This window comes from Homo sapiens, chromosome 8, assembly GCF_000001405.40.
Source record: "Homo sapiens chromosome 8, GRCh38.p14 Primary Assembly".
Lineage (NCBI taxonomy): Eukaryota > Metazoa > Chordata > Mammalia > Primates > Hominidae > Homo > Homo sapiens.
In genome coordinates, this window is record NC_000008.11 from 26,801,255 (window position 1) to 26,827,104 (window position 25,850).

At 39.4% G+C, this 25,850-nt stretch overlaps 1 protein-coding gene across 12 annotated transcripts in view; it reads right to left on the minus strand.

The window, feature by feature from the left end:
- ADRA1A (adrenoceptor alpha 1A) overlaps positions 1–25,850 on the minus strand; it is a 119,230-nt gene that overhangs the window by 53,105 nt on the left and 40,275 nt on the right. The window contains exon 3 of one of the 12 annotated variants that reach the window (XM_017013096.2): positions 20,064–24,918. The exons of the other annotated variants lie outside the window; for them this stretch is intronic. Within the exon in view, the coding sequence (XP_016868585.1) occupies positions 24,848–24,918 (71 nt within the window). The 3' untranslated portion in view covers positions 20,064–24,847. Of the gene's footprint in view, positions 1–20,063; positions 24,919–25,850 lie in introns of those variants that run through there. 12 annotated transcript variants of the gene reach the window in all.

Genomic DNA, 25,850 nt, shown 5'->3' on the forward strand with positions numbered 1-25,850 from the left:
TGGTACTGGGAGTCCTAACTAGATCAATCAGACAAGAGAAAGAAAGTAAAGGCATCCAAATTGGAAAGGAAGAAGTCAAATTATCCTTGTTTGCAGATGATATAATCTTATGTTTGAAAAAAATCTAAAGACCACACTGAAAAGCTATTAGTACTGATTTAAAAATTCAGTAAAATTGCAGGATACAAAAATCAGCAGCATTTCTATATGCCAACAGCAAACAGTTTGAAAAAGATATTTAAAAAGTAATTCTATTTACAATAGCTACAAATAAAATAAAATACCTAGGAATAAACTTAACCAAAGAAGTGAAAGATTTCTACAATGAAAACTGTAGAATACTGACGAAAGAAATTGAAGAAGACACACAAAAAGTGGAGATATTCTATGTTCATGGATTGGAAGAATCAATACTATTAAAATGTTCATAAACACAAAGCAATCTACAGATTCAGTGCAATCCCTATCGAAATACCAATGAAATAAAATAAATAAAATTTATATGGAACCACAAAAAACCAGAATAGCCAAAGGTATCCAGAGCAAAAAGATCAAAACTGGAGGAATCACACTACCTGACTTCAAATTATACTATAGAGCTATGGTAACCATAACAACATGGTACCGGCATAAAAACAGACATACAGACAAACAAAACTGAATGAAGAACCCAGAAATAAATTCATACATCTACAGTGAACTCATTTTTGACAAAGGTGCCACGAATATACACTGGGGAACGAACACTCTCGTCAGTGAATGGTGCTGGGGAAACCAGATATCCATATGCAGAAGAATTAAACCAGACCCTTATCTCTTGCAATATACAAAAATCAAATGAAAGTTGATTAAAGACTATGAAACTACTAAAACAAAACATCAGAGAAACTCTCCAGGACGTTGGGCTGGCATACATTTATTGAGTAATATCCCAAAGCACAGGCAACCAAAGCAAAAAAAACGGACAAATGGGATCACATCAAGTTAACAAGCTTTTGCACAGCAAAGGAAACAATCTACAAAGTGAAGACACAATCCACAGAATGTGAGAAAATCTTTGCAAACTATCCATCTAAAAAGAAACTAATAACCGAAATTTATAAGGAGCTCAAACAACTCAATAAGAAAACATACAATAATCTGATTAAAAATGGGTGAAAGATATGAATAGACATTTCTCAGAAGAAGACATACAAATGGCAAACAGGCATATGAAAATGTGCTTAACATTATTTATCATCAGAGAAATGCAAATCAAAACTACAATGAGTTATCTCACCCCAGTAAAAATGGCTTTTATTCAAAAGACAGGCAATGACAAATGCTGGTGAGGATGTGGAGAAAAGAGAACTCTCATACACCGTTGGTGGGAGTGTGAATTACTACAGCCACTATGGAGAACAGAATGGGGGCTCCTCAAAAAGCTAAAAATAGAGCTACCATATGATCCAGCGATCCTACTGCTAGGTATATACCTAAAATAAAGGAAATCAATATATTGAGGAGACATCTGCATTCCCATGTTTTTGGCAACACTATTCACAATAGCCAAGATTTGAAAGCAATCTAAGTATCCATCAACAGCTCAATGAATAATACAAATGTGGTACATATACACAATGGAATACTATTCAGCCATAAGAAAGAATGAGGTTCTGTCGTTTGCAACAACATGGATGGAACTGGAGGACATTTTGTTAAGTGAAATAAGCCAGGCAAGGAAAGACAAACTTCTCATGTTGTCATCTATTTTGGGGAGCTCAAAATTAAAACAATCTGACTCATGGAGACAGAGAGTAGAATGATGGTTAGCAGTGACTGGGAAGCGTAGTGGGAGGGTGAAGATGGGAAATGGGGATGGTTAATCTAAAAATATAGTTAGATATGAAGAATGATATCTAGTATTTGATAGCATAACAGAGTGACTACAGTCAGCAATAATTTGTTTTATATTGTAGAATAACTGAGGGAGTACAATTGGAATGTTTGTAAAACAAGAAATGATGAATGCTAGAGGTGATGAAAACCTCATTTATTCTGATACGATTATTACACAGTATATGACTGTATCAAAATATGTCATGTACTCCATAAATGTATCCTACTATGTATCCATAAAAATTAAAAATGAAAAAAGATGACTCTTGAACTATACTTATACTGTGCACAAAAATTAATTTGTATGGAGTCTGAACATAAACATAAAAGCTAAACCTATAAAGCTTTAAGAAGAAAACATCGAAAAATACCTTTGTGATCCTAGAGTAGTGAAATATTTCCTGGATAAGACTTGGAAAGTGATAAATGTAAAAGTAGATAAATAAGCTTGATCAAAATGCAAACTTCTGCTCATCAAAAGATGGCATTAACAAAATAGACAAAACACAGCCTACGAGACAATACAGACAATATAAATTTCTAACAAAGTACTTGTATCCAGAATATATGCAGAAATGCTACAACTCAATAATTTTAAAAGTCCAGTTAAAAACAGATGAAAGACTAGAATAGACACTTGACATAGGAAGATATACAAATAGCTGATGAGCACAGGAAAAGATGCTCAGCATCGCCAGTCATCAGGGACATGCAAATGAAAAGCGTAATGAGATACTACCACATACCTACTACAATCACTCTGCAAAAGAATATTTTGGAAGTTTCCTTTTTTTTTTTTTTTTTTTTTTGAGATGATTTCACTCTGTTGCTTAGGCTGGAGTGCAGTGGCAAGATCATAGCTCACTGCAACCTTGAATTCCTGGGCTCAAGAGATCCTTCCACCACAGCATCCCAAGTAGCTGAGGCCGCAGGTGTGTGCCACCACACTTGGTTAATTTTTAAATTTTTTTTAGAGTCGGGGTCTTGCTATGTTGTCCAGGCTGGTCTCAAACTCAAGGGTCAAGTGATCCTCCTGCCTTGGCCCCCCAAAGTGGTGGGGTTATGGGAATAAGCCATGAATTTCTTGAGAAGTTAAATGTGTATCTGTCTTAGGACCCATTACTCTCCTTAATGCTTACCCAGGAGACATGAAAACACATCCACATGCAGGCTTGTCTATGAGTGTTCAAAGAGGCTTTATTTGGAATAGCCCCAAAGTGGAAACAGTCCAAATTTCATCGATATGTGAAAGTATAAAAAATTATACCTATTACTCTAGAATAAAAAAGAATAGACTATTGATACATGTGACATGCATCTCAAAATCATTATCATGAATGAAAGAAAAGAGGCCAAGAAGATTCATACTGCATGATTTTCTTCATTGTAGGAGTCTAGAAATTGCAAGATAATCTACAGTGATGGTAAACAGATCAGTATTTGCCTGGGGACAGAATCCGTAACTCCATGGATTCCATGGGTGTCAGAGTTGTGCTCTGACTTATCTGACATATATCACTATTTGATGGACAAATGATCATATAAAGTGAAAAATCAACCTCTAAACTAAGAGTTTGGGATCTAACTCCAGAATAACACCAGTAACCTCTGTGTGTCTCATTGGAAGAACATATGATGCTTCGAGGATGGTTATGTCAGAGAGCAAATGAGATGGTGTGTGAAAAATAATAGTAATTATAAGATCTGATATAAATTTAATTTATTCTTATTGTTTGTTATTAATAGCTAGAGATAAGCCTGAAATTATAATTTCATAGCTCATCAGTGAGGGCAATGAAGGATTTGCATCAAAATAAGCTTCGGAGTCAGTCTCTCTCTCTCACATGCATACACACATACACACATGCTCGTATGCATGCACACACACAAACATACACCACTCAGGTTTCATAGACATTATTTCTGGAGATAAAGAGTATGGCTCTGAATTTTGTTTCTAATGCTGTTGGTTGTTTGCATGCTAATTCTAGACTAGGAATCAAATCCTAAAACGTCAGTTATATTGTGTCCCACTGTGACGACCAAGAATGGGGCTCTCACCTCTGCCTACCTGGCTCTTCACGTGAAGTCGCCTTCCTCATTTGTCCACTCTCAATTTACACCTATTGCCTCAGTATGGTTATTAATTGTGCTTTCTTACATTTTGAGTGTTATGAGCTAGACAGTAAGTTAACATTGAATTAATATTTCTGGTTTGGATCTACAAGGTGGGAATTATTCCCACTTTAAAGATGAAGCAAATCACTTGTCTACTACGCTACAACATTGTCTTAGAGAAGGGAGACCAAGACTCTGGGTAATACAAGACTGAATACTTACTGCGTGTCCACTCTATGCCCAGTACTTTCGAAACGCTTTCCATATATTAGCTCATTTAATTTTCCAAAAATGCTAGGAGGATACCAAGACATTAGTGTTATTACAGATTACGAAACAGGCATGAGAGGCTAAGTAACTTGCCCAAGGCCATGGAACAAGTGAGAGATGGAACTGGATTTGAACTCTGGTACCCCAGCTCCAGAGCTGGTGGGTAATAATTACTTGCTATGAAAAGTATTACAAGGCTTTCTTTTTTGTGTTGCTTCTACCTGGTACAAGAATCTTGATGAGCCAAGAGTTACTGGAACTTCAGTAAGCTCATTACTTGAACACATTTATTTTTAACCATTTTCCCCCCCACATAGATTTGGCATTATTAACAGAGCCAAAGCCAAGTGACGTTGGCCCTTGATAAAGACACAGCTTATCAGAGCCTGTGCCCCCTTCCCCCTAGGCATCTTCTATCACTGTTGCAGGTGCAGGCCCCCTCCACACCCACTCTGGAAAGCTGAGGGTTGTGGCTGGTTCTCCTTTTCTAGGACATTCCCTGAGGCCACTTGTGGCAGCCGCCAATGTGCTTGCTCTTCCTATTTTATCCTTCCAGGCATGTGGCAGCTTTACCTAATGACCGAACTCCCGAATGTTCCCATTCTGTCCTGCCTCTCTTTTCCCCTTACTCCAAGAATGACCCATTATGGGTTATTAGCACTGCCCTGTTTTTAACTGGGTTGCAATTCATGCAGCCTCCTAACTGCAAAATCACTTCCCTACAGCCTTCCTTCAGACAAGGTGGAACTGGCCCCAGAAGCTGGGTGTTTACACCAAAGATTTTTTTTTTTTTTTCGAAAGCTGCCTTCTGTTTTGCTCTTCCCTTACTGTATAACAGATAGCAGGGTGCAAAAAGCCCTTTATCCTGTTAATAGTGGCCTTAGGTAAGGAAAAAAAAAGAGCATGATTCAAGTTTTCTGTGGCCTCTGGCTCAGTTGAAATGGAATGTAAGTGCAATGCCAGAGCCTGGTAAAAATAGAAACTCCAGTGTCCAGACTCCTCTCCAGATGGTGTGGGAATCCAGATAGCAACTCATCACTAAGGAGGGCCACCATTAATTAGTGGGAAGATGTCATGCCTCACACTGGGGAGTAAATGAAATGGCCTATAGCTTAGAATGGAACCTCTCTAATCGCCAGAGAGTCCGAGGTTTCTCCCTAAGTCTCTTTACTCTGGCTTAACCGAGAGTTCGGTCATTACATAAAGCTGCCACATGCCTGGAAGGAGGAAATAGGAAGAGCACGTGCAGTGGCTGCTGCTAGAAGTGGCCTCATGGAACATCCTAGAAAAGGAGAACCAGCCACACCCTCAGCTTCCCAGAGTGGGTGGGGAGGGGGCTGGCATCTGTGATAATGAGAGAAGATGCCTAGAGGGAGCTGGACCCAAACTCTGATAAGCTGGGTCTTTACCAAGGGCCAAAGTGGCTTGGCTTTGGCTCTGTTAATAATGTCAAACTTATGTCGGGGGTAAAGTGCTATAAAAATAAACATGTTCACTGAACGAGCTTACTAAAATTCCAGTAACTCTTGGCTTATCAAGTTTCTTGTATCAAGTAGAAACGACACAAAAAGAAGCCTTGTAATACTTTTCACAGCAAGTAACTATTACCCTTCATAAGAATCACAAATCTAACCCCTTTCCATTAAGCATAGCCTCCTAAAAGGAATTAGCTTTGGGCCCTGGGCAAGCCACTGAGCTCTGCTAGTCTCCCCTTCTTTATCAATGTCATGAGGGTGATCATACTGATTTTCAGATTTTCACAGGGCTGCTTCTTTTGATAATTAAATAATAAGAAGGTACAAGAATCAAGAAGGGTGACAAGCACATGGGTGGCTAAAAATATTAACTGAAGAAATCAAAGCAATACAAATGTTTGGCACCACTAAGTTAGAAAGAGTGTATGAGAACTGGAGGGAACCCCTCTGCTGGTCAATTTTTATTATTTGGAGTAAATGTCATCTCTCAGAGAAGCTGTTCTCAAAGATCATGTTGCATTGTTAATTTTGGTATCTGTCTCTCTTAATAGACAGTGAACCTTCAAAGTGGGGAGGACCATAGCATGTTCAGGTCTCATTATAGCATGTAGTGCATAAAGGTGCTTGGATGTTTATTGAATAAAAGAATGAGTGAAGATTTGGAATAATGGAAAACATTGGGAAGGGTGTTTCTTTTGGTGGGAATGTAGCATGATGCAAACTAGGAAGTTACTTAGAATGTCCAGGAAAAGACAGGAGAGGGCAGCGTGGGTGGAAAACAGGAATTGAGGAGTACTGAGCAAGAGACACACCAAAGAGGCCAGGACCCATCCACCTTATCTCCTCACCTATAAATTCTGCTCCCCTCCTCCTTTGCAAGGTCCAAGCCTCACAATGTGGCTCCCTCTCTACACCATCACCTCCTGCTCCTCTTTGGAAAAGGAACCACAGTTCCCAAGCTCTTTATACTAGACACAGGGCAATGCATTCTGCACTTATTTTTTCTAAGTTCATACTTTGAATAAGTAATACATTTACGTGGCTCAAAAATGAGAACACTGTAACAAATTATACCCTAAGGTGTTATACCCTTGACTTTATTTCCCCTATCCCCCTTCAATCCCTAGACATAATCCTTTTAATTAGTTTCTTTTTTATTCTTCCAGTGTTTTATGCAAATATAAGAAGTATGTCTATATATTATTTACTTATGTTTCCTACACAAAAGATTGCATACTACATATACTTCTACATATTGCTTTTTCCACTTAATACAACCTGGTCCTCTTTTCCCTATCAATGTGTAAAGATCTTCATCCTTTTTTATAGCTGTGTAGTATTCCATTGTATGTATTTAGCATAGTTTATTCAACTAATCTTCTAGTGCTGGATTTTTTTCATTATATACACTGTGGAAATGAATAACTAAAATTTTGAACAGTTTTTTTAACTTAGCCTTTTACCTGATTGTTGATGCCTTTTCTTCTTTGGTGATCTTGGCAATTCTTAGGACTCTATAGATCACTTCTATGCTGATGACAAAGCCCCATTGCGGTGTGCATCCCCTTTCCTGCTTCTAGCTGCCTTCCTGATCTATTACAATCAACAGCAACTCTAAACTTGACCTCATTTTCTCCTCCTTTGCTTAGGAGGTTTTCCTAGTGAAAAGTATACACTGAGATGTCACATTCTCTCTCCTACTCACTAAGATAAGAAACTTCAGTTGCCTGTGATTTCTTCTCTGCCTTGAACTCTACATCCATTGGGTGTAACAAACACATTGTTTTCTTGCATAACATTTTGGACATATGTCCTTTCTTTTTATTCTTATTGTCATAAATAACTGATTTTTCCACTTTTCTCTTACATGTCTTCTGCAATAATCTAGACAGCTTTGGTAGGAAACATCTCACAACTTGGGTGGGATCATTTTTCTGCCATTAGAGGTATCCCAATGCCTAATGAAGAAAGTGTACATTGCTGTTTGTAATGAGAAACTTGCTTTCTCTTTATTGATGAGTGAGCTCTTTAGGAGTAGACACCTGCCTTATTTACTACAATACCCTTACCACCTGCCATGATGCTGGGCATAAGGTATGTGTTCAGTAAAAAATTGTTGAATTTATCTCTGCAATACAATTTCAACGGGCATTTCCAATCTTATCTCCCATTATTCCCCTAAACAAACTTTACTGCCAAAGCTAATTTGAACTATTGTCCAGATATACTATTTAACTTTCATGACTTGGATTATGCCATTCTCTCTGCCTAGAATATTCTTCCTCTGTCTCTATGTGTTACTCTGTTCAGGTACTGAAAAGCCAACAGTTTCCAAGGCCCAGCACCTCTGAGAAGTTCTATCTGATTACCCTGAAACCACCGAGGCCCAAAAGAAAGCAACTTCCTCAGTAGAGGAAATGGAACCAGAACCCTGATTTCTCAGCTCTCATGAGCCTAGAAAGAGTAGAGACTCTAAGATCCAGAACTGCACATTCTATTTCCCAGTGAGCCATGACATCCTGCCTTGGAGGCCAGAATGATACTTGTCTTACAACTTTATTGGATAATAGGGAGGATCCCATGGAATGATGGAATTAGTAATCATTTATAAAAGCACAAAATCTTATAAACTGTAGTGAAGTATGTAGTGCATTTCTATTCAATTAAATAAACATGTATTAAACTCCTACCTCTACTATACACTGAGCAATGTGCTACAAATGGAATGGTTTCTTCCCACAAAGCGCTGAGTAAGAGAAAGCTGTGGCCTTATTGAATCTATTGATTTAGCCTCAATAAATGCAGAAGGATGTCATCTACTCACACGAAGATAAAAGGGTTACAATCATGGACATGGCTTACCTCTCTAAATAGCTCGCTATATAATTTTGGCAAAGTTCCTTGAACAATTTGGTCCTTAGACTTCCTAGATTGTTCATGGAACTTTCTTCTTAGATTATTATACCCTGTTCTGTGTCTCAGTTTGCAATTTTTATCCCAGCAGAGGAACTCTAGTTCTAAGAGGGAGATCTGCCCTTGAAAACCGGCTGCCCTTATTACTTCCTGCCTTTCTTTTAACTGAGCTCCACTGGCTCAGACACATAATTTTTGTTAACCATGAATGCTTTAATAAACTCAGAGGTCGAATCAATAAAGCCAAGATTTTTGACCAATTGTGGTCAACACAAGTACCAAAGTAAATTTTTACAAAAGGGTCACCATTCAATTTCTAGTAATTTAGGGCAAATTCCACGTTGGGTTAATTTCATGCTGCATTTCTGAATTCCCAAAGCAGTTTCTACAGAATGTCATCATGACTATGGGTTTTTTCCCTTGATCCGTCCTAAGACTTGGTGACAGGCAACAAGCCTGAAACAGCCATTCTATTTCACTGGGGAGAGAGATTGCATGTGTACCTGGAATGAAACCATCTGCTAGAATCTTGCAGCAGTGTGATAATGGAGAATAAAATGGAGAATTGTTCAAGGGTCTTAGTTGAAGGTAACAGTATTTACGGGATGACCTAAAACAATTCAAATAAGAAAGCCAGCTTTAAGTAACAATATCCCACTGCTATGTCACACTAGTGAGGCAGCTCTGGCATGGTCCAGCTTAAAATATGGCTAGTGATTTGATTGTAAAATATTAGCTAGCTCACTGGAGAGCTGGCACAGGACTTTAGAGGAGACCTGGACTCATTTTTTCAGGTCTCACTCTTCAACCTCAGCATGCCCACTCCCATAGAATCATATATGACCAACACATCTTTGTTCCTTGGATGGCACGTTTGCAGTTATTCTTAATGAGCATGCTTCCTACTCAACTGACCCGAAATAGTTTGTAAGTAAAATAAAGAGAATTGCCCTAATTTCAACTATGATTAATCAATTAGTTGAAAAATCAATTACCTGACAAAAAAAAATCCAAGATTCACTTCGCATGACTTTTTAGTCTTTCATCATTTCCCACATTTGTGCTCCTGTGTTCAACCAGCTTTGGAAGTAAATTAATAGAAAAAGATGAAGGAACTGCTTTGAATCCATACAAGACATGGTTTATCAAACAGTTCACTAGCAAACATAGATGAACCTTGGGTGCATTTCTTTATCATCATTTTTGTGTGAGGCCCTAGGGTGAGAAATAGAAATGAAGGCTGGATTCTGTCCATTTGGGTCTCACTGTCTAGCTTTCTTTCTTTTCTTTTTTTTTTTTGTTGAGACGGAGTCTCGCTCTGTCGCACAGGCTGGAGTGCAGTGGCGCGATCTCGGCTCGCTGCAAGCTCTGCCTTCCAGGCTCACGCCATTCTCCTGCCTCAGCCTCCTGAGTAGCTGGGACTACAGGCGCCTGCCACCACCCTCGGAGAATTTTTTGTATTTTTAGTGGAGACGGGGTTTCACCGTGTTAGCCAGGATGGTCTCGGTCTCCTGACCTCGTGATCCACCCACCTCGGCCTCCCAAAGTGCTGGGATTACAGGCGTGAGCCACCGCGTCTGGCCCTCACTGTCTAGCTTTCTAAAGACAAACTGGTATTTACACCAATCTCTCCTTGTCACTGCCACTAAACTCCAGTCCACTAGAGCCCACTCAGAAAACCTTTCTCAACTGATGGGAGCATAAAGTTTGAGATTTTGCGATCACTCTTAAATTTCTTCTATGTTTTAGATGGATATAACTTAAGATTTGTAAAGTTCCAAATCTTCAGATATAGAACATTTCCAGCACCTCAGAAGGCTCCCTCATGCTCCCTCCCTATAAAGGTAACAACTATTCCAATCTCTGACACTACAGCTTAGTTCGATCTGCTTTTGAACTTGACGTAAATGTCGTCACGTGGAACGTACTATTTGTGCCTGACTTTGTTTACTCAGCATTACCTCTGCGTGATTCATTCACATTGTTATATGCATCAGTGCTTTGTTCCTTTTTATTTATAGTAGGAATATAACACAATTTATTTACCTATTCCACAGGTGATGGGCACTGGAATAGGTAAATATTACAAATAAAGCAGCCAAAAACATTCTTACAAATATCTTTGGGCTGATATGTCTTTTCTAAAGAAATCAAAATTTCTAATTTAATAAATTATATGTTTTCTAGCTTGGAAGACGAAGACAATGAGATCTAATGAAATGAGAGGCTGAGAAAACTGGACCTGATTAGATGCATCCAGACGTAATCTGTGCAAAAACCATGTTTTTTCCTTCTTCGACATTCTCATGCCTGCTTCTTCCTCCTCCTCTGCTCCCACTCTTAGCAGTGGCAACTCCTGGTGACCTATTTTTCTTCTGAGGCTTTTCTCATACTATCTCCATATTCTGTCAACTCATAACCACTCAGAAAATTTAATATCGAATAACTGATACTCAGGTTAAAATAATGGTTACACTACTCTCCTGAATAATCAAATAACTAATAGGTTTAAATAATAATGACACTACTTTCTTAAGGATATATGCTTATTTACAGGAAACAGGGATCTATCTCTGTGGAGAAATTTTAGAAGTCAGTAAAGTTCAGGAGATAGTTTTTGAGTGGGTAAAACTGATTTTCAGTACCAGAAAATCATAAATGAGCATCTTTCTTGTGAAGCCAGTTCTTAATACATCCAAAAAAGGGAGTTGCCTTTTTATTTTTATTTATTTATTTATTTATTTATTTATTTTCTTTATTATTATTATTTTTTTGAGATGGGGTCTCACTCTGTCACCCAGGCTGGAGTGCAGTGGCGCGGTCTCGGCTCACTGCAAGCTCCGCCTCCCGGGTTCACGCCATTCTCCTGCCTCAGCCTCCCGAGTAGCTGGGATTACAGGCGCCCGCCACCACGCCAGGCTAATTTTTCTGTATTTTTAGTAGAGACTGGAGTTTCACCGTGTTAGCCAGGATGGTCTCGATCTCCTGACCTTGTGATCCGCCCACCTTGGCCTCCCAAAGTGCTGGGATTACAGGCTTGAGCTACCACGCCCGGCCTGCCTTTTTATAATACATTTAATTTTTTAAAAATGCTGATAAAGACCTCTAGTTTGATATATAATTCTCAGAGTTGCGCTATCGTCTAACTACAATTTTTCACTCATACCCTTCCTGTCAATTGAAAGCTAAGGGACAGGTAATAAAAGACTACACTTGCATTAATAGTAAAACATACTAGGGAAAAGTTTTTCAGTTACAGTTTCAGAAAGTTGTTCAGTTGCTATGAGAGTGGAAACTAAATATTTGCTTCCTTCTATTACAAACACAGCAGACCAACCTAACCTAAGTCACCAAAGGAGCAGTTAAAATCATTTTCAGTGACATCGTGGGGCTAGGCTTTTTAAAGCAGGATTGAGAAGAAGGCAAAACAACTATAAGGTATCCTTTTGTTTTTTCTTTCTTAACCCACTCATCTAACTTTCTGCCTCATTGAGCTTCCTTCTTACAAATAAATGAATTAATTAAGACCCTACTTGCAAGAAAACCTGTGGTTAAAAGGGATCTTAATTCCTCTTGCATCTATCCATCCATCCATCCATCCATCCATCCATCCATCCATCCATCCACCTATTAATCCAGTCAACCATCCCTCAGGTGCTTGGCCTGGATCCCAGGCTGGTGGGTTACACTGTGGACATCCATCCTATGCTTGAGTGTTTCCAGTGATATGGAATTCATACAAGCCAAGCAGCCAGCTCAGTTCTGACAAGGTAACAAAGTTGCCTAATTAGAAAGTAATCAATAGCTAGTTTTGATAAGGTGGCATTTTTTCTCATTATTTTATTTCCCATTTTTTTAAGCTTTTTTTTCCAAACACTGGGAAAATAGGATATTAAAAACAAAAAGCAATTTCATATGTAAATGTCTTTTTAGACTAGGCTCAAAAACCTGGACACAGTGAAGGATGATGTTGACAGCTAACATTTTTCTATCTGACTTGGAGCAGGTGAAAGATTTCTCTACAAGTGACATGGACCTGCCAAGCCAAACCAGTGATCCTCAGGTCAGGCCAAGCTTTGTAACTTGGGGCCCACAGATGTGGTTTGTTTAGCTAGCACAATATTTTTAAAATAATGAGTTAGTTGCCAAGTTTTAAAATTAGACTGTTTCACATAAAATTTGAGTCTGGCTGATCCTAACAAAAAGAGGGTGCTTATTTATTTTTATAAAGTTTTTTTCTTAGCTTTAAAGGAGTGGTTTTAGTGATTACTATCTCCTATGGTGAAAAAAAAAAACATACTTCCTAGAATTAAATGATTCCTTTCTAAAATTTTTCATTTATTTATGTTTCTAGAGACAGGGTCTTGCTCTGTCGCCCAGGCTGGAGTGCAGTGATATGATCATAGATTACTCCAGCTTGAAACTCCTGGGTTTAAGCAATCTTCCCACCTCAGCCTCCTGAGTAGTAGGGACTGCAGAATAGCTGAGACTTCAGGTGTGAGCCACCACACCTGCCTAATTTTAAAAAGTATTTGTAGAGATGGGGTCTTGCTATGTTGCCCAGGCTGGTCTTAAACTCCTGGCCTCAAGGAATCCTATCACCTTGGCCTCCCAAAGGCCAAGGATTACAGCTATGTGCCACTGTGCCTGGCCAAGTGATTCCTTTCATTTAGCTTTAATTTTACTTCTGTTAAATAATTTAAATTTAACACTTCTTTAAAATAAAGAAATATATATCATCTGTTTTATAATTTTCTTTCTCTCCATCTATTTACTCATCCATCTACCCTTCCATCTAGAGAGATGTCTAGATTTGTGTTGGCCAAATGATAATGGTGGTTACTTTAGGATGGTGGAATTTTAGATGACCTTTAACTTTCTATTTTGTATTTTGCTGTGCTGAATTTTTAGTACTCAACATATTTCATTTTTATATAACATTAGTCCTTGTCATTTAAGAAGTCCTTTAAAATTAAAATATGTCTCTCTTCTTTTATCTCTTGAACTGAACCTTTAATGGATGTGATTAAGTGAGATCTAAATTAATGGTGAATGCCCTTTTTCAGGTAACAAGAAAAATGTGAAAATTTGAGCTTCCTTATTAGACAGGCTTCTCCCCTGATATCAATCCTTATGTATTTAACTCACTGTAGTAATTTAGAAAAACATGTTTTATTTCTTTTATTGGTCAATATAATTTAGACGCATGGGCCAAAGTATCAAAAATTTCCACTACCAAATCCTCACCAAGACTTACTGGGTTAAATCTTGTGGTAAACTATAATAGGATAACAGTCTTAAATAGATACTTGAAATCACATGCAGATTTCCTTTTCTGGAAATAGGGCATTCTAGAATACTGAAAACTATTTTGCCAGAGAACACCTAGACAGAGTGGAAAAAGTTGATAAGCTTTCTTTTACATGCATGGTTAGGTTTGCAAGATAGTAAAATTTTTCCAAGGGAGCAAAAAATTATCCAAAGCACTAAAACAAGAGGTAGCAAAAACCTAAGTATTAATGTAACACTGATTTCAAGCTACCTTATGGGATTTGTTGGTCTTGACAATCAAGTGATGTGGGTTGCATAAACCACATCAGGACAGAAGATGAGGCCTTGGGCTTACATAAAATTGGAAGGAAAATAAACAGAGATCCCTACATGCAAGCTTGAACCCTCACAGAGCTAGGCCTTTAGTGAAAGGTAGATGACTAGGAACCTGATCAGTCTCAGCCTGGATACTGTTTGTGGGAGAGAAAGGTCTCTGTTGAGTACTGAACAAGAATAAAAATAAAGCATACCAAAACTTGTAGAATGCAGCCAAAGCAATAATTGGAAATGTGCAGCCTCAAATATTTCTATCAGAGAAGAAGAAGGCTGAAAATTAATGAGCAAAGTAGCTGTCTGTGTTCCCTATAAAACAAAGGGTAAGGCAGTGAGTGATTAAGTGCTAATGCTTCTCTGGAGAGGTTCCAGGGCAGAAGGAATGAGAGAAAAGGGAAATGAGACAGGGCAGGATGAGAAGCAAGGGAGGGGGCGTGTCCAGGTGCTGCTGGTTGCTTTATCATGAGCCTTGAAAAGTCGCTGGTTCCATGGCAGCTGTACCCATTTGGTCACTCTTTGGGATCTCCAGAAAGGCAAGACACAGAAACAGTGCCTCACAGCAGCATCCCGAGGAGTCGTCCCTCTTAGTGTAGGCCTGAGGGCGTGGGGAGGAGCAGCCCTACAGGATAGATGTAAAATCCCACCTGGATCTGTCTTTCCTATATTTCCTTTGGAACAAAAGCCTTAAATTGGTGTGGGAAGGACACAAACCCTGTCACCTTCAAGGAATTGGAGAAAATCCACTGAAACTGGGGAAGGGCATGAGAAAAACCGTATTCCATGAAGGTGGGATAAACTTGCTGGGTTCAGACCTATTGATTGGGATCAAAGCAAATCACTGAGGGACTCCTCTCCTGAGACCCAAGGATGCAGTGCCTGCCAAGGACAGAGACTTAACCAGAGCATCAGAGCCCACCCATGTGCTGCCCCTGGAACCAGTGTAGCATACATTGAGTAACAAGTAACAGTGGTCTATGGCTGGGAGAAGGGCAAAAACAACAAGAGAGGTGCTCATGGTGTATGTGTGTGTGTGTGTGTGTGTGTGTGTGTGTGTGTGCATCCACATTGTGTGCACACGCTCATGTGCACACGCCTAACACACTGAGGCAGCCTGCATGGCACCCAGACCAGAGCACCTGTGCGGTCACACAAACACTCGAGTGGACACTGGCTCACTCACACCTCCATGTGGCACCTCAGCGCCCACCAGCTGCTCAGTACCTTGTCCACACACACTTCTTGTAGCACAATGGGAAGACCTAAAGCGGAATATGGAGAAGACCCTATGAAAGCCCCTGGCATGCCAGCCCCCATCCTACAGGAGTTTGAACCTCCCTCTCACTCTTTGCAACAAACTAACTCAAACATGTCATAGACTCAAATGTAAAACTCCAAACTGTAAAACATCTAGAAGAAAATGTAGTAGAAAAATCTTTGTCATCTGGAGTTAGTCAAGGATTCTGGGGTTAAAGATTTCTTAACTACAACTCCAAAAGCATGACCCATAAAAGAAAGAAGATAAATTGGGCTTCATCAAAATGAAAAACTGTTATTTAAGAAGTCTGTGCTGAGAGAATGAAAGGCAAGCCATATACTAGGATAAAAATATTTACAAACCATATATCTGATAAATGACTTGTATTCAGAATATACAAAACCATCAAACGAAGTAATAAGAAAACAGACAATTCAATAAAAATAGAATTGAAATAAATATTGGGACACATACTTCACCAAAAAGATAAGCAAATGTCAAATAAGCAAATGAAAAGATGCTCAACATCATTAGTCTTTAGGAAAATGAAAACTAAAGCAACAATGAGATACCATTTTACATGTATTAGGATGGCTAAAACCAAAACGAAAACAAGAACATCCTGACAATTTTGTGTACTGGATTGTTCATATATTGCTTAAAAGAATGCAAAATGATACAACCACTTTGGAAAACAGCTTGGTGATTTCTTATAAAGTTAAACATACGAGCCGGGCACTGTGGCCCATACCTGTAATCCCAGCACTTTGGGAGGACAAGGCAGGTGGATCCTTTGAGTTCAGGAGTTTGAGACCAGGCTGGGAAACATGAAAAATGCTGCCTCTACAAAAAATACAAAAATTAGCTGGGCATGGTGGCAGATGCCTGTAGACCCAACCACTAGGGAGGCTGACATTGGAGGATTGATTGAGCCTGGGAGGTTGAGGCTGCAGTGAGCTGTGATTTTGTCTCTGTACTCCAGCCTGGGTGACAGAGCGAGACCTTATCTCAGGTAAACAAAAACAAAAACAAAATAGGCTTATCCTACCACCCAGAAATTCATTTGCTGATGTTAACCCAAGTTAAATAAAAACTTGTTCATTTAAAATCTGTATGTGAATGTTTACAGTGGCTTTAGTTACAAGAGCCAAAATCTGGAATCAACACAGACATACATCCTTCAGCTGGGGATTGATGAATACACTGTGGTGTATCCACATAGTGGAATGTTACTCAGCAACAGGAAGGAACATCCCAACATATGGATGAATCTCAAACACATTACGCTGAGTAAAAGATGCCTGACTCCAAAGGCTACAAACTGTATGACTCCATTTATATGACATTTTTACAAAGACAACACTATAGAGAAAGAAAACTCAGTGGTTGCCAAGGATGGGGGTGGACAGACGGTTTGACTATAAACAGACATGAGAAAATTTCTGTGGGTAATAGAACTTTTCTGTCTTTTTTATGGTCATGGCATGTGACTGCAGAAATTTGACTCACAGAACTGGACACTACAAAGATAAATTTTAGTCTATATAAATGAAATCTTAATATTAAAAATGAAATAATATTAAGTCAAAAAGAATTCCATGGTATGTCACTATCCAAAGACAACCTTATTAACATTTTTTTGTTTGTAAAATTTTCTGAAATCATTTTTAAAAAACTGCACTTGCTGCTTCCTACACGTGAACAATAGACCCAGAAAACTTTACAGATGAGTTTTACCAAACATTCAAGGAATTGATGGCTTAACTATCTCAAAGTATAATACATAGGAAAAGGGGCAAAATTTTCCTAGTTCGTTTTATATGACTATAAATAAAAAGAACCAAACAGAAATTCTGGAGCTGAATAATACATTAAAAAAGAACCAAAGAGAGATTCTGGAGCTGGATAATACATTAATACCTCTGGAAATGAGGTACAGAGCGTCAACAGCAGACTTGATCAAGGAGAAGAAAGAATCTGTGAATAAAAAGGCCAGTAATTTGAAGTTATCCAGAGAAGAAAAAGTAAAAAAATTAAAATAAAAAAAGTGAAGAAAGACTCCAGGATTTATGAAATGTTATCAGGTAAAATAATACATGCATAATGAAGAATTTAAGAGGAAAAGAGAGAGAGAGAGAAAGCGGCAGAAAGCTTGTTTCAAGAAAGAATGGTTGAAAACTTTCCAAAACTTAGAAAGGATGTGGACATCCAGACTTTTGATGTTCAGACTTCCACCAAAAGATCAACTCAAAGATGATTACACAGAGACACATTATAATCAAATTATTAAAAGTCAAAGACAAAGAGGATTCCAAAAGCAGCAAGAGAAAAGCAGGAAAATTCCATGAGGCTATCAGTGGATTTCACAGGAGAAACCTTGCTGGCCAGGAGGGGAGTGATATATTAAAAATGCTGAAAGAAAAAGACTGCCAACAAAGCTGTCCTCCAGAATTGAAGGAGAGAGAAAGACTTTCCCAGAGAAACAAAAGCTGTGGGAATTCTTCACCATGAAACTGCCTTATAAGAAATGATAAAGGGAGTTATTCAAGTTGAAATAAAGGGATACTAATAAGTAATTTAAAATCATATGAAAATATAAAACTCACTTTTACTCTAGTATAAAAGTTAAAATACAAAAGTATTAAAATATAGCTACAATAATTAATAAATAAACAATACAAAAAGATGTAAATTGTGATATCAATAAATCAAACGTGTGTTGGGGGAGAGAAATTAGAGGGTAAGTTTTTGTATGCAATTGAATTTAAATTGCTATTAGCTTAAAATAGATTGTTACAACTATAAGATGTTTGATGTAAGCTTCATGGTAATCACAAAGCAAAAACCTTTAGTAGATACACAGAAGATAAAGAAAGAAATCAAAGCATACTACTACAAAATATCATAAAGAAACATTGTAATATAGGAAAAAAGGAACTACACAACAGTCATAAAAATTAATAAATTGGCAATAGTAAGTAGCTATCTATCAATAATTACTTTAAATATAAATGGATTAAATTCTTCAATAAAAAGACACAGAGCACCTGAATGGGTTTAAAAAACAAGATCCAAAAACATGCTGCCTAGAAAAGACTAACTTTAGCTTTAAAGACACATCTGAAAGGGAAGTGATGGAAAAAAGATATTGCATGTAAGTGGTAACCAAAAGAGAGCAGGGGTAGCTATACTTACACCAGACAAAATGGACTTGAAGTAAAAATCTGTCACCACAGAAAAAAAGGTCGTTATATAATGATAAAGGGGTCAATTAACCATGAAGATATAACTGTAAGTGCACCCAACACTACAGCACCCAAATATATGAAGCAAATATTACCAAAACTGAAAAGAGAAATAGAGAGCAATATAATAATAGTAGTGAACTTCAGTACCCCACTGTCAAGAATGGATAGATCATACAGATGAAAAATCAATAAAGAAATACCAGACTTGAATTATACTACATACCAAATGCTAACAGACGTACAGAATATTTCATCCAACAGCAGCATAATATATGTTTTTCTCAATTGTAGGTGGAACATTCTCCAGGATAGATCATATACTGGACCACAGACAAGTCTTAACACATTTAAGAAAATTGAAATCATATCAAGTCATTTTTTGACCACAATTATTGTCAATTATTACCTCAATAGTGCTGGAAAAAAAGTGTACATCTAAATCTCAGCCCCAGGGATACTTTCTTGACTAAACATCATTGATCACCACAGGTTTACTTTGTCTCTCTTTGGCTGGATAGTACAGCCATTCTCTTCTCAGTGTAGACTTTTCACCACCTTCCCCATGACATAGACTGAGCATTTTCTGGCTCTTTGCACCTTACACTTTCTCACCTTACAAATCCATGTATTTGTGGGCACATGCACCATATGCCCACATGCCTATGCCAATATGCGAGCATTGTTAGACAGAATCGGCTTGATGACACTGAGATTCTGGGAAAATGCAGCTTCTATAGGTAATGAGCATATATATCTAGTCACATTTAAAAAAATAGAATTTATTTTGAGTTAATTGTAGATTCATATATGGTTGTAAGAAATAATACAGACAGATTTAGTGTAACCTTTACCATATGCATTAGGCCATTTTGTTGTTGTTGTTGTTGTTGTTGAGACAGAGTCTCACTCTGTCGCCCAGGCTGGAGAGCAGTGGTGCCATCTTAGCTCACTGCAACTTCCACCTCCTGGGTTCAAGCGATTCTCCTGCCTCAGCCTCCTAGAGTAGCTAGGATTACAGGCAGGTGCCACCACACCTGGCTAATTTTTGTATTTTTAGTAGAGATGGGGTTTTGCCATGTTAGCCAGGTGGTCTCAAACTCCTGACCTCAGGTGATCCACCCACCTTGGCCTCGCAAAGTGCTGGGATTACAGGCATGAGCCACCACGCCTGGCCACATTAGGCCATTTTAGTGTTGCTATGAAGAAATACCCGAGGCTGGATGAGTTATAAAGAAAGAGGTTTAATTGGCTCATGTTGCTGCAGGCTGTACAAACATGGCTCTAGCATTTGCTTCTGGTGAGGGCCTCAGGAAGCATACAGTCATGGTGGAAGGCTAAGGGAGAGCAGGAAATATCACATGGTGAGAGTGGGAGCAAGACAGAGCAAGGGAGTGGGGAGGCCTCAGACTTTTAAACAAGCAGACCTCGAGTGAACTGAGAACTCACTTTTCACCACGGAGATGGTGTTAAGCCATTCATGAGGAAGCCAACTCCCTGATCCAATCACCTCCCACCAGGCCCCACCTCCAACATTGGGAATCACATTTCAACACGAGATTTGGAGGGGGCAAACATTCAAACCACATTACCAGGTTTCATCCAATGGCAACATCTTGCAAAACTACGGTACAATATCACAACCAGGATATTGACAACGATACAGTCAAGATACAGAATAGTTCCATCCTGGCAAGGAGCTCTCAAATAGTCCTTTTATAGCCATACCCACTTCCCTTCTGCCCCACCCCGATCTTCACTCCTGGAAATCACTAATCTGTTCTCTATTTCTATAATTTTGTCATTTCAAGAATGTTATGTAAATAGAGTCATACAGTATGCAATCATTTTGGGATTGGCTTTTTCCACTTAGCATTATTCTCTGGTACTTCATCTAGAGAATGTTGCACATATCAATAGCTTGCTATTTTTTATTGCTAAGTAGGGGTGTATTACCATTTGCTTAACCCTTCATTCACTGATGAATATCTGGATTGTTTCCAGTTTGGGGCTATTACAAATAAAGCTGCTGTAAAAACTCCTGTACAAGTTTTTTGTGTGACCATAAATTTTCATCTCTCTAGAATATGTGGCCAGAAGAACAACTACTGGGTTGAATGGTAATTGCATGTTCATATTTTTAAGAATTTGTGAAAGTCTTTCCAAAGTATGGTATCGTGGTTGAGAGAGAAAACTGTGGAGCCAAACCAAGAGATATCCACCACTTTTGAGTTGTATGTGTCTTGATATGAGAGCAAATCTCTCCAAGACTCAGCTTCTTTGTCTATAAAGCTATGCCTACTTCATAAAATGTTTTGTTAAATTGTCTGAGGGCTAAAAGGGATTATACAAACAAGTTCTTAGCATGCAACTACTCAGAACTTGAAATGTGGCCAGGATCATTGAGGAAGTGAAGCTTTTCATTTACTCAATTTTAAGTCACTTAAATTAAAATAGCCATACATGGCTAGTGGCTACTATATCAGACAGCACAGATTTACATTCTTACAAAATGAAGATTACAATAATCCTCACAAGGTTGATGCAGAATGAAGAAAAATGCAAAAGAAAACTGCATGAAAGACATTGTAGTATACAACCTAAGGTGCTATTTATAGACAATAACTTACTCAAGGATGGTTTAGATACAGGCTGTATTAGTCTGTTCTCACATTGCTACAAAGGAATGCCTGAGACTGGGTAATTTATAAAGAAAAGAAGTTTAACTGGCTCATGGTTCTGCAGGCCATGCAGGAAGCATGGTGACTTCCGCTTCTGGGGAGATCTCAGGAAACTTACAATCGTGGTGGAAGGTGAAGGGGAAGGAGGCACATAGCTGGAGCAGAAGCAAGAAAGTGGTGGGAGGAGGTGCCACACACTTTTAATAAACAAATCTCATGACAGCTCACTATCATGATGACAGCACCAAGGGAAGATGGTGTCAAACTATGAGAAACCACCCTTTGAGTCAGTCACCTCCCACCAGGCCCCACTTCCAGCATTAGGGATTACAATTTGACATGAGATTTGGGTGGGGACACAGATCCAAACCATATCACAGGCCAAGAAAGTTTTTCTCTCCTTTCCAACTGTGAACTGTAATTTTTTGTTATAGGCATTAACAGAAGAACAAACACCAGCAAGAAATGAACAAAAAATGGGGGAGGGCAGTGTCATGAAGCAAAATATGTGGCTAGCCTTTCTGCAAAGTGTGCTCTTGTCTGTGACACATGCTTCTTTGGCCACATGGTATAGTGTCTGCCTTCCACACTGTCACGTGCTGGGGGCTGGGCATGGGCGGTGACTTCCATCTGCTTCCTCATGGAGCACAGCCTCACAGAATTCATCATCAAGATAGGTCATGAATGGGAATGCACACCAGTGTAATATCTTTGTCCCTGGTGAGCCGTATCTCTGATACCTTCTAAAATGTTAGCTAGAGAAAGCAGAGGTGTTTCATTGACAGGTAATTATTGTTCTCTCATAAAAACTGAATTCTATGAAGAACAAAACCTTTCCTCCATCTTGGAAGTTGGGACAAATGCACTGGTTCGGGGAGCGCTGGGCTAAGGATCAGGCTGCTTGGGCTATCAACATATTTGTGTCACCACCTATCTAAGTGGCACCAGGAAGCCCACCTTCCTTTTTCCTATAAGACAGAGGATCAGGACTAGTTGGCCTAGGACCCCTACCAGGACCATCATTTCATCACTCATACTTGACACCTCATATTCTTGCAACTTCAAGGGCACAACCACTCTCTGATGTGTGTTATAATTATAGTTGTCAAGGTGAAGAACCCGAGGTACCATAAGACTATGGCTTGGTCAAAACCCCACAATATAGTAAGACAGCGGCAGAATTGGAAATGAAATCTTCATACTCCAAGCCTTTCTTTGGGTCTTTGTTCCACGCTATGTTACTCTGGGCTCATTTAGAAGAAAGTATTGCCCTGGGCTGGAAAATGGAGTGCCCAATGAATAGAGCTGCTTCTTTCTCCTCCCCCTGCCTCTTCTTGCTCAGCCCCCACACCTGCTGTACTGGCCACTGTCTGGATGTAGTAGGAGAGAGAAGAAAAGCAGAACAAAATAGGTAGGGGGCAAGGAAAGAGAAAGGTATTAGAAAGGTAATAGAAAGGATATATAATATTTTTCCATCTGTTCAGAAAGAAAGGCACTTAGAACTTCAGAAGAGCCAGCATTTTTACAGAATCACGAACAGTTTAAGCAAGCAAGGACAGAGAAGTGAAGTGACTCATCCTGGGTAACAGGGGTCTATCTAGTAAGCAAAAACTAATAAAGGATGGCAAAGCATAGGAATTAAGGCCAACTAGAGTCTCCGTGTCAGCCCTGTTGCATGCCCGCCGGGAAGCCACGGTCAAGGCAGCCTCCTTCAAACTTCGTTTTTTGCATCTCTGAAAGGAGGCCATGATACCAACATTGTAAGGTTATTGTGAGGATCGAACAAGGTAATGCCTGTCACACAGCTGACCAAAATTTAAGAGCTTAATAGAAGAGAAAATTGATGAGTTTGGGCTAGAACCCAGATATTCCTGTTCAATCGAGTGCTCTTCCCAGTAGAACACGCTGCCCCTCCCCCTTCCTCCCTTTTTGCTCAATGCCAGCATGCTCCCTTAAGCTCTCTAATTAGCTAAATAAAGAGTGCAGACAGGGCCTATGTTAAAAAATGCTTTCTGAGCCAAGTGAAATCCCTAGGGAAGTGAAAAGAAAAGAAAAAACACACACATGGCCAATTACCATAGCATCATTTCATTTCCTCAGAGTGACTAATACCCAGAGACAGTCACTTAAACACTAATTGCAGGAGAACAGGTAGAAATCATGTTAAATGAGCCCATCTTTATTCCTGGAAGAAAAGACAGCAAGACTCTCCAATGCATGAGTATGTCTGCCTCTTAATCATCTGCAGAAAGAGAAGGCAGCTTCCTTCTCTGATTGAACATTGGATTTTGATGGCATCGTAGTTCTTCTTGAACTAGCCGGCAGATCTGCAGTGTGGAATTGAGTTACCAGTGGAGCAACATGCCAGCTTCCTTCTGACAGCGTTTGGTTGTTCAGAATTCAAGCATGGCATAAAACAATGCCTGCATGCTCCAGAGAGACCCCCAGCCCCCACATGTCCCACCCTGAGCTTGCTAGGCCTTCCAGGGCCTCGGTCCCCACATCTGTGTTGGGAGAGAGGAGACAGTTCCTTCTTTAGGGAATGGGGGTCATAGAGATATCTTCACTCTCTAGCTTGTTTTCTTCTTTCTGATTGTAGCTCAGCTCCTTTTCTTTTCTTCTCTCTTCTTCCTGCCTTTAACCATTCTTCCATGAAACACTCAAGTGGGAGAGTTTGGTTGTTTGACAAAAAATGGGGAGGGTGGGTAGGGAGGAAGATGGAGTTTCTTTGTTTTCTAATTCCGCCCTACTTCGTTTCCTATAAGGGGACCAGGAACACTTTTCACTGGTCATCGTGGGGCTTCTCATCCCCTAAAGGCCATATTACCCCAACTTCTAGTTGTCAGCTATCCTTGTCAAAATTTCCTAATTTTGATACTTATATCCCACTTATTCACTAATCCCAGATCAAGCTTCACTTCCTCCAAAAAGTCTTTTTCAACTATGTCAGCCTTCACAGAGCAACTGTCATTCTTTAGGAAAAATCAAAATTTAGCTTGTAATGATATATGAATTGCACATGCACGCTAATTTATACTCTCCCTCCTGATTTAACAATCCTTAAGGAACAGTCTCCCTTGTATCCTGCGGGCATTCTGGTTCGATACTAGGCACAGTGTTGATTGCCTGTTTGATACCTGCTTAAAACAGAAAATCGACTTCCAAGTTCTGCGCACTGGTGTTTGCATGAGGACATGAGCCCCATTCCTTGAATTCCTACAATGTCCCAAGTGCTGAGCTGGGCACTGGCCATGCCAAAAACACATAAACACATTCTGTCCAGAGAGTGCTTACCTCTTCTTCCTGAGAAGATGGCCAGCTCACTTACACAATGAGTTCATTTTCGTCATGGAGATCATGAACAGAGGGTGCATTCCAGCTGAGCTAGTACTTCCTGCCCCTCAAAGCTCAGCTCAAAGTGAGTTTCCTTCTGTGGCCTTCCTCAGGCCATGGAACCTTAAGTTTCTTCATTTTTTTCCCTAAGACAATGAAAAGAAGAATGCTACAGTAATTAATGAAAGTCTCATGAGTGATCTCTTGCATCTATTTCCAGTGGATAGTTGGGTGTTTCTGACTGGCAAGCAATTCTCCTGCAGACCAAATTCAGGGACCCAGGCTCCTTCCACTTGTGGCTCTGCCACCTGCAAAGGCCTTGGAGTGACCTGCATCCAGAGGGCAATGGCAGGGTCACATTATGACTTTTATGGCTCCAGTGACTCTTGCCTTCATGGGCTCCTTCTTCCATGCAAAAAATTAAAAATTATATTTTATAACTCTATTGGTATAAAGATGACTACATTGTATATAAATATATTTTTTTGGCCAAAAAGTCTATTTTGTTATCTTGATTTTAAAGAAATAGAAACATTTCCATGAGGCCTTAAAACTCTTGTGGACCTGTGCTCATCTTTGTCTGTGCTTACCTCCCAGTCTGACCCCTGCGGTGCTCATCGACCCTATGCCCTTGGATCCAGCATGTGCCACCTTGCTTTGCCTTCTTGGCATGTTCCTGTTAGCCTCCCCAGACAGACAGCAAGATCTTGGGTCTTTTGCTAGCTCCCTAGCACATTACACCAAGCCTTGCCTAGGGCGAGGGTCTCCCAGTCTGATTCCTGAATTTGACCAGTAGGAGAGCTATCTGCCAACCAGAAACACCGAGTTCCCAACTGGAAATAGATTCAAGAGATAATCTCATAAGACCTCAGTCAATTACTATAGCATTCTTCATTTCACTATCTTAGGAAAAATGAAAAAACTTACAGTTACACAGTCTGAGGGAGGACACAGCTATGTATGATTGTGCCCGTTCTGCAAATCACTAACCCTCAGTTTCCTCATCTGTAAAATGGAGGGCAAGAACTGAATCTCCCTCATGGTACTGCGTGAAGAAGAAAATAGATGATTCATGCAA